General features: G+C 45.8%; 1 annotated feature.

Moving 5' to 3' along the window:
* Positions 234-733: an enhancer, noted in NCBI's record as "H3K4me1 hESC enhancer chr20:49693483-49693982 (GRCh37/hg19 assembly coordinates)". NCBI's record gives its function as "activates a minimal SCP1, AML or CMV promoter by ChIP-STARR-seq in primed H9 embryonic stem cells {active_cell/tissue: H9 hESC(primed)}" and the evidence as "EXISTENCE:reporter gene assay evidence [ECO:0000049][PMID:30033119]".

An 8,846-nucleotide genomic window follows, 5' to 3' on the forward strand; every position in this document is an offset into this window, starting at 1 on the left:
CTTATTGTGATATGACTGGAAGCAAATTTCCATCCTTCCTCCCAATTCCTGGGGCAGGAAGCTGGATGGTGGCACCCACCAATGTGTTAGCCCTTTCTCCATCATGAAGGATAACTCGAGGCAGGGCATCCAGTGCCAGTGGGAACTGGTGAGAGGGCTTCGCCATCACCCTAGCTGTCATCCGCGTGACCAGATGGGCTCATTTGGGTGGAAATCCTCCCCCCTGCTCCCCCAGATACAGTGGCTCATCCTGCCTGACGTGCTGCAAGCCTGTCGAGCTGCTCAGGGTAGAGCCAGGTTGGGAGAAGTTTGGGATGGAGCCAGGAAAGGCAATCAATGGAGTTTATTAAGCATTCAAAGCAGGTTGTTGCTCTCTGGCAGATCAGCTGCTAGTTTAAGTACCTGTGAAATCCACAGTAAACAGCTGCCTGCCCACTGGTGTCAGGAGAGCTGGCTTTTAGGCAGAGCCAGATTTGAAGATGCAGAAAGACATAGATCCACTGTTTCTTTAGGATCTGTTATGTGCCCGGCACCATCTTACTTAATCCTCGTGCAATCCTCCCAGGGAAGTATTATTTCCATTTTTAATAGAAGAAAGCAAGGCACAGAGAGGTTAAGGACTTTGCCCCAGGTCACACAGCAAATTCCCAGTGCAGCAGGCAAAGCCTATACTGCCTCTTCCGGACTAGCTGCAAACTTTTCTAATTTTGTCCCAGATATGTTTTCACTGCTCAGTTTACGTCCCTCTGCAAGTATAATAGCCAATGTTTATTCAACACCTCACGGTGCCAGGCACTGTTCATTATGTTATTCTAAATCCTTGCAACAACCCATTTGAGGTGAGGGCATTTATCCCATTTCTGCAGATGCAGAGTTGAGGCTCCAAAAGCTGGAGGGGCTTGTTTGAGCATACACAGCTGGTGAGGGTAAAAGCAGGTTTGCAACCAGGCCATCTGAGCTCAGTGTGAGAGAGCACCCATCTTGCCTCCTCTTTCTCTGTTTAGACAGCACTTCTTTCCATTTAAATCTTTCCCCAGCCCTCTCTTCCTCATCACTCCACAGCAGACTCTCCACCCTGGCACTTCTGCTCAGACCTGTCAGTCAATGAGCAAAGAAAGTGAGCGAGTATGCTGTGCGTGTGTTGAAATGAGTCGGCAGGTCGTCCAAGCAGACGTCTCCAGACAGCAGTATGCATCGCCATTGACAGAGTCAATTACTGCGGCCCCAGGAAAGGGCTGTTTAGCATCTTGAAAGAATTAACCAAACAGTGCATAATTATTGCAAATCAACCGCCTCTTAATTATATCTGTGGCTCCATTATGCACCCCATTGGGCTCCAGCCCCTGCAACCCATGGCCCTGGATTTGGTACATCCCCTTTGCCACAGCCCACTTCTCGGAGAAGACAGAGCTGTGCGTGTGGGAATAACGGCTCTCCTCCAACGATCAGCTTAAAGGTCATGTCTTTACTTGTGGACATTTCTACCAGAAATATGGAAAAAGAGCAAAGTTGTTTTAACAGGCTCCAACCTCTCCGTGCTGCCAAGGAGCTGTCTTCTGCCAGATTCAATTCAGTTCAATAACAACAGCTGCCTTTCCTGGGGGTATTTCCTGTGTTCTAAACACTTCCTGTAATTCTCACCTGCGCAGAAGGAGTTGGTATCCTCCATTTTACAGATGGAGCGACTGAGGCTTAAAGGTGATAGGAGATTGCACAAGGTCATCTTTGAGGTAAATTGCAGAATCAGTATTAGACCCAGGGTCTACCTGAAATCTGAGCCTGCGTGTTGCGCTGGTAGATCATGCCGTCCTTTCCCCCACAAGTCAACCCAGCTCTAGGGTTGACTTGTTCTTGGGGAGAGCAGAGGAGTGCAGTCCTCAGCCCTTGCCTTCAGCATCCCCATCCCTTGGCTGTGGTGTCCTCGCCTCTTCAGGTCTAGTTAGAGTTTGTCTCCAACCCCATTTTACACCAGTGGAAGGTTGGCTGGTTCTGTGGTTTACCCCATAGATGACCTTTTGCAAGTCTCACACCTTTAAGCCTCAGTTGCCCCATCTGTAAGATGAGGGATACCGACTCCTCCTGTGCAGGTGAGAATTACAGTTCAAGTTTTCAGCTTGAGAATTTAGCTCAAGTTTCTGAGAAGCCCCTGGAGGTTTTCGTCTCTGTTGCTCTGGGCTGGCCTTTGACTTTTCTGGCTGACTTTCTCTGTGCCGCACAATGTTGATTCAGACCTTTTCCTCTGTTCCCCACAGAATAACCCCGACTCACACCAGGCATTGATGCATGAAATGGGCTTTACAGAAAATTTAGGAGAAGATAAAGAAATAGTTTATGTGGCTGAGATTCCAACAATTTTCAATTGAATATTAGGCATTCTACTGTTGTTATATGTAAACTTTCTATTCGAGGACATACAGAAAGTAAGTCATAAATGCACGGCTTGATGAATTTTCACAAAGTGAACACATCCATGTAACCAGTGCCCAGAGTAAGAGATAGAACATTCCAGCACCCACAAGGCCCCCAAAACTAAAAAGCCCTTTCCAGGTTGGGTGCTGTGGCTCATGCCTATAATCCCAGCACTTTGGGAGGCTGAGGCAGGTGGATCACGAGGTCACGAGATAGAGACCATCCTGGCAAACATGGTGAAACCTCATTTCTACTAAAAATACAAAAATTAGCTGGGCGTGGTGGCGGGTACCTGTAAACCCAGCTACTTGGGAGGCGGAGCTTGCAGTGAGCCGAGTGTCGCACTACTGCACTCCAGCCTGGCAACAGAGTGAGACTCCATCTCAAACAAACAAACAAACAAAAACAAAAAAACTTCCAAATTCTTCAATTCTTCCTTTCTCCATGCACTTTGCATATAGAATGCAGCAAGTATTGTGGGAATATTTACTGTGTGCTAAGCGCTTTTCATGTATGATCTCATTTAATCATCCTATCAACTCTAAGAGGAAGGTATTCTTATTGTTCCCATTTTACAGATGAAGAAACTGAGACCTGGATTAATCAGCTTGCCCAAAGTTTTTCTGCTGGTGATATGGTTTGGCTGTGTCCCCACCCAAATTTCATCTTGAATTGTAGTTCCCATAATCTCCATGTGTCATGAGAGGGACCCAGTGGGAGGTAATTGAATCATGGGGCGATTACCTCCACAATTTTGTGCTAGTGAGTGAGTTCTCATGAGATCTGATGGTTTTATAAGGGGCTTTTCCCCCTTTTGCTCAGCACCTCTTGCTGCTGCCATGTGGAGAAGGATGTGTTTGTTTTCCCTTCGGCCATGATTGTAAGTTTCCTGAGGCCTCCCAGCCATGCTAAACTGTGAATCAATTAAACCTTTTTCCTTTATAACTTACCCAGTCTCCTGTATGTCTTTATTAGCAGCGTGAGAATGGACTAATACAGCTGGTAAGTAGTAATGGCAGGATTCGGACCCGTAACCCCAGCATTCCTATTCTTAACCTCTAGTTTGGGACAGTGTCAGGCACTGGATTCCTCTGCGTACGGTCTCTGCCCTCATCTAGACGCTAGCTTTGCTCTCCAAAGGCAGAGTCTCATAGGTGGCTCTTTGGTATCTGATATGGTGCAGACCATCCAGGAAGCACCTAATAAATGCTGAATGGATGGATGATTAAACAAAAAGCATTGTTTGAGGGTCAAGTTGTTTACTTAGATCACAGCTTGGAGAGAAAAAAGCTCTGTAGGATGCAGTTATTCTCAAGAAACCAACCATTGCTCATCTCTTCTGTGCGGCAGTGCCTTTGCAGAGCATAAGCAATACTTTGGTCTTTGTTTCATCAACATTTCCTTGCCTTTTAATTTGTGGTAAGAGGACGTGAAGGGAAATAAACATATAGTGATGAGGTGGGGAAAGCCTTTTTCTTGGCTCCGACTAGGGGAGGCATGGAAGATGAATTGAGTTCTGTGCCATCCTCTCAAAGTTCACGCTGTTTTTGCTCCAAAGTTGTTTCCCTGCATGATTTATTGTGCTATCTGGAAAATCAATTTTTTCTTCTTGGGACCACAGAAGAGTCTGTTTCAAAACACATTTGCACCCTTAAAGCTAACATATTCAGTCTTACTGCCTCTGGTATCTGTAAGCAGACCCATTCCATGCTATTTTTAGGATCATTTCCAGAAAAATAATTTGTTTCATTGTGGAGTCTGTCAAGCTAAATGGAGTTATTTTCTTTGTGGAGTTGGATGAGTAAATCTAGTCCTAAGAAAATGAGGATTTAAAACATTTCCTGCAGAGAGCTCATAGCTGGGTTTATCTTATAGATTAAAATAAAAAGGAGCTACCAGAAGGTCTGTGTGTCCAATACACTTTGTTACCATCTATCAAGTCTATTTTCTTAAGTTGTCAGAGCTGTTTGCATTCATAATAATAGCTTTATCAAGAATCAGCTCCTTTTCTAGCATCAAAAGTTAAGAATTTAGGCCAGGCGCAGTGGCTCACGCCTGTAATCCTAGCACTTTGGGAGACTGAGGCGGGCAGATCACTTGAGGTCAGGAGTTCAAGACCAGCCTGGCCAACATGGTGAAACCATGTCTACTAAAAATACAAAAATTAGCCGGGCATGGTGGCAGGCACTGGTAGTCCCAATTACTGAGGGGACTGACACAGGAGAATCACTTGAGCCTGGGAGACAGAGGTTGTAGTGAGCCAGCACTGTGCCACTGCACTCCAGCCTGGGTGACAGAGTGAGACTCCATCTCAAAAACAAACAAACAAACAAAAAGTTAAGGACTTAGACTTTGCAGCTGAATGGATCAGGATTCAAATATGTGCAAGATGTTCTACCTGTCTGGCCTCAGTTTCTTGATCTGAAAAAATGGGAAGAATTAAAGGACCTACGTCATCAGGTTGTAAAGGCCTTAACAGCATGGTAAGGCATGTGGAGTGGGATGCACTTGTTCAGGCATTGGTGGCCCAGGGTATAGGGCCCGTGATATTTTCAGGGGCCCACAAAAAAGTTTCTGTTTTGGTTTCTTTGGCTGGGTGCAGTGGCTCTCACCTATAATCCCAGCACTTTGGGAGGCCGAGGCGGGTGGATCCCTGAGGTCAGGAGTTCGAGACTAGCCTGGCCAACATAACGAAACCCCATCTCTACTAAAAAAAAAAAAAATCAGCTGAGTGTGGTGGCGGGTACCTGTAGTCCTGGCTACTTGTGGGGTGAGACAGGAGAATTGCTCGAACCCAGGAGGTGGAGGTTGCAGTGAACCAAGGATGCACCACTGCTCTCCAGCCTGGGTGACAGAGTGAGACTCTGTCTCAAACAAAAAAAAAAATTCTTTTAAGATCAGAAGGAAAAAATGAATATAGTAATAATGAATGCATAATAATGAATCCAGCCTAGATTATATTTGTCTTTTATACCAACATAGTCACAAAATATTTTTAATTATAATTATATATTATATAATTAGATTATAATTATATAATATATAATTAAAATAATTTTATAATATAATTTTATATAGAGGGAGGAGCCCATGAAGGCAAATGTACCTAGGGCTCATGAAAGTCATAATATAGCCCTGGAGTGTATCAAATGGGAGGATATATTTTTTAATCACACAAAATAAGTTCAGAAGTAGGCAGGCAGTTTGAGACAGGTCTGGCCACTCCTTGGTCTCTAAGGTCCTATTTTTTCGCACCACCTCCCTCAAGCTTGCCTCATGGACCAAAATGGCTGCTAGAGCTTTAGCCACTGTGTCTGCATTCCAGGCATCAGAAGGAAAAAGGGGCAACGGGCAAAAGGAGCCCACTTCCCAGCTGGGGCACCTCTCTTTAAGGAACATTCTGCCCCACAACACTGAACTTGGTCACAAAGCTGCAGCTTAGCTTTAAGGGGGGCCGGGACATGTAATGTTTTAGCCGGGCGCATTGCCTTTCCAGATACAAGGTGGGTTTATACCAAAGAAGGTGAGAACAAGGCCAGATCACACAACCCAGAAAGAAGGAGATACTAGCTCTCTCTGGCAAGCCCCTTGACAGACAGGAAGAGGGAGACGGAGTGAGCTGACAGACTAAGTTCTCCAGCCAGGCGTCTCACCTGTGGTGTGAGGCTCCATCAGTTCCAAAAGGGGGAAGGACAAACAGGCACAGGTGGGGCTCCTGTCAAGTCAGAGGGTCGGGAAGGGGAGAGTGGAGGGATCAGGCAGAGGTGTGATCTCTGTGCCCCATCCTCTGGGTTCCTCATTCCATCAGGCTGCCACCCGAGTATACCCTGCTAGGTGAAGCCACCCCTGACCCCCAAAACTCAACATCAAGCCTCCTTTCCCACTCCCTGACTCCTCACCTTGTGTTATTTTTTCTTTACAGCACATTTCACTGCTTGCGATTCTGTGGATTCATGTATTGTCTGCCTGGCCTGCCAGGCTGTAAGCTGTCTGGGAGGCAGGGATGTACCTGTCCTGTTCATCACGGTATCCTGTCTCCAGCACCTCTTGCCTGGCCTGTGGTGGGTGCTCACACTTGCTGAAAGAGTGGCCCTGATGCAGAAACATCTCCCCCTGGCCCTGGGTAGGCTAGACCAGCATGGGCTGTGGCACCTTCCTCCCGCTCTTCAGCTCTCCTGCTTCATTCATGGTGTTTCAGCAAAGGGGGCTGAGAGCCTCCTTGTGCTAGGTGCTCTTCTGGGCATTGGGAATTCAGTGATAAACACAGACAAGAATCCCTGCTTACATGGAGTTTATCTCCAGCAGAGGAGTGAGACAAGTAAAGAGGCTAGCTGGTGATATGAGGTGTAAAGAAAACTGAAGCAGGGAAGGGCTGAGTTCTGGGGTTGAGTGTCTTCATTTTATATAGAATGGCCAAAGGAAGGCTTGGCTAAGAAGCAGTAACAGTGGAGCAAAAGCCTGCAGGGGCTGGGGGAGCCAGCCGTGTGGACGTCCAGAGGAAACATGTCTAAGCACAGGGAACAGCAGGTGCAAAGGCCCTGAGGCAGGAGCATGCCCAATGTGCCGAAGAACAGCAAGGGGGCCAGTGTGGCTGGCAGAGAGTGGGAAATAATATGGTCACATAGGGTCACTGCCAGAGGTGCAGTTTTTATTGTGAAGGATGTGGGGAGCCCTCGGAGGGTCAGAGGCAGAGAAGGGGGTACAATCTGACTTCTGTTATAGAGGATTCCTTCTGCTGTGTGTTGAGGACTGGTTGTAGGGGCGGGAGTAGAAGCAGGGACTCCAGTGAGGAAGCTACTGCCTCTCCCAGGTGAGAGGTGACCACAGCTTGGATCAGGGTGGAGGCAGAGGAGGAGGTGAGGAGCTGTACTTTCACAGGATGGACTCTTCTCTTCTCACCCAGAAGGCATTCCCGGTGGCCCCATATATCTCCCTCCCTCAGCAGTCAAGTTTCTGTGGGGGTAGGCTCTACTTCATCAGTGGTATCACATCTGTGTCACATTACCCATATTACACAGTGGATGCAGATGTGGGGGTTTCAGCTGGCAGGCTCCAAGGTGAATCTAACCTGCAGGCAAGGTGTTAAACCCATTTTGAACTGTATAGGAGCATACTGCTTTCTGGTTTTGCCACAGACCTCACTATTCTCTTGTTTGCCAAACACTTCCGGTTTCACACATTTGTATTATCCGTCTGGCTCCAGAAGACATGCGAGGTTCGTATGAAGCAGGGCTGGTAACTCCACTCTGTACCAACCGAGATATCCATTTCACAGATCTTGTTAATCCCATTTCACAGAGGAGAGCAACTTAATTGGCTCAGCAATGAAATGACTACCCCAAGGTCATGCGGTTCTAAACTGGTGATTGTGGCTTTCTGGTTTTTAATGTCTCTCCACTCCATCCTACCGGCCTTACAGCTAGTGAGAGTTGAGAGAGAATTCTCTTCCTTTATCAGACAGATATATTACCCTACTTGTAAATAGATGATTTCAGAAACAGAGTAATGGTGAAGAGACCGTCTAACTTGGGTTTGCACTCCCTTCCACTTCTAGGTAAAGAACGGAAAACATTCACCCGTGTATTCCTCATTTGCATTACAAGAGCCGGGCAACCTGCTGATTTTACTGTGTACAATGAAGCTTTCACAAAGCATGTGTGCTTACGCTTCTCCAAATGAAGGGTTGCTCTCCAAAAGACGGTATCTGTAGCACGTGTGTGGTCGTTAGCACCTATTATTATACATTTACGTTCATAGCTTTGTAGCTTCTTACTCCACAGTCCTGCCTACCCTTGGTCCTTAAAAGCAAACTTCGGAGGGTGGTTCTTACTGAAACTTGCCATATTCTGAATTAAATTTTAAAGACTTGATGACACCCTTGCTGGGGAATGAGAATTCAACAGAGTTAAAATTATATTCTTAAGTGTTCCTGGAGTCAGCCCCAAGTATTAAGGTACTCAGAAGTAAAAAGGCCTTTGCCCTCTGTGGGTTTCCAGGAAAAGAAAAGAAAGAAACTGAACAGTCATTTACCTTTTTCTACATTTCCCCAATTTTCTCAATCTGTTCCCATAGCAACCCTAATAGAGATTGGGTTGCTAGAAAAGCATTCATTTCTATAGAAACAATTTGTTCTATATGAGAAAAAGTTTACTTGGTAGCACATGAAATCTAATATTAGGAGTTTGGTTTTGTTGGTGGATTTTTTTTTTTTTTTTTTTTTTGTCAGCCAGAAGAATATTTCCCAAGCCACCTACAGACGTATGTTGCATCTTTAAGCTCAAAATTTCATCTCCTAGTGTTTTCTCAAATTGGTTTTGGATGGAGGTTGCAGAGTCTCAGTCCCTTGGGATGTTGACTAAGAATACAAAATTTTAAAAAGTTTAGATTATTTGCATACTCAAATACAAGGGATAGACTAGATGATCTCTTGAGGGGTT

Source organism: Homo sapiens, chromosome 20 (genome assembly GCF_000001405.40).
Source record: "Homo sapiens chromosome 20, GRCh38.p14 Primary Assembly".
In the NCBI taxonomy this organism is placed as follows: domain Eukaryota; kingdom Metazoa; phylum Chordata; class Mammalia; order Primates; family Hominidae; genus Homo; species Homo sapiens.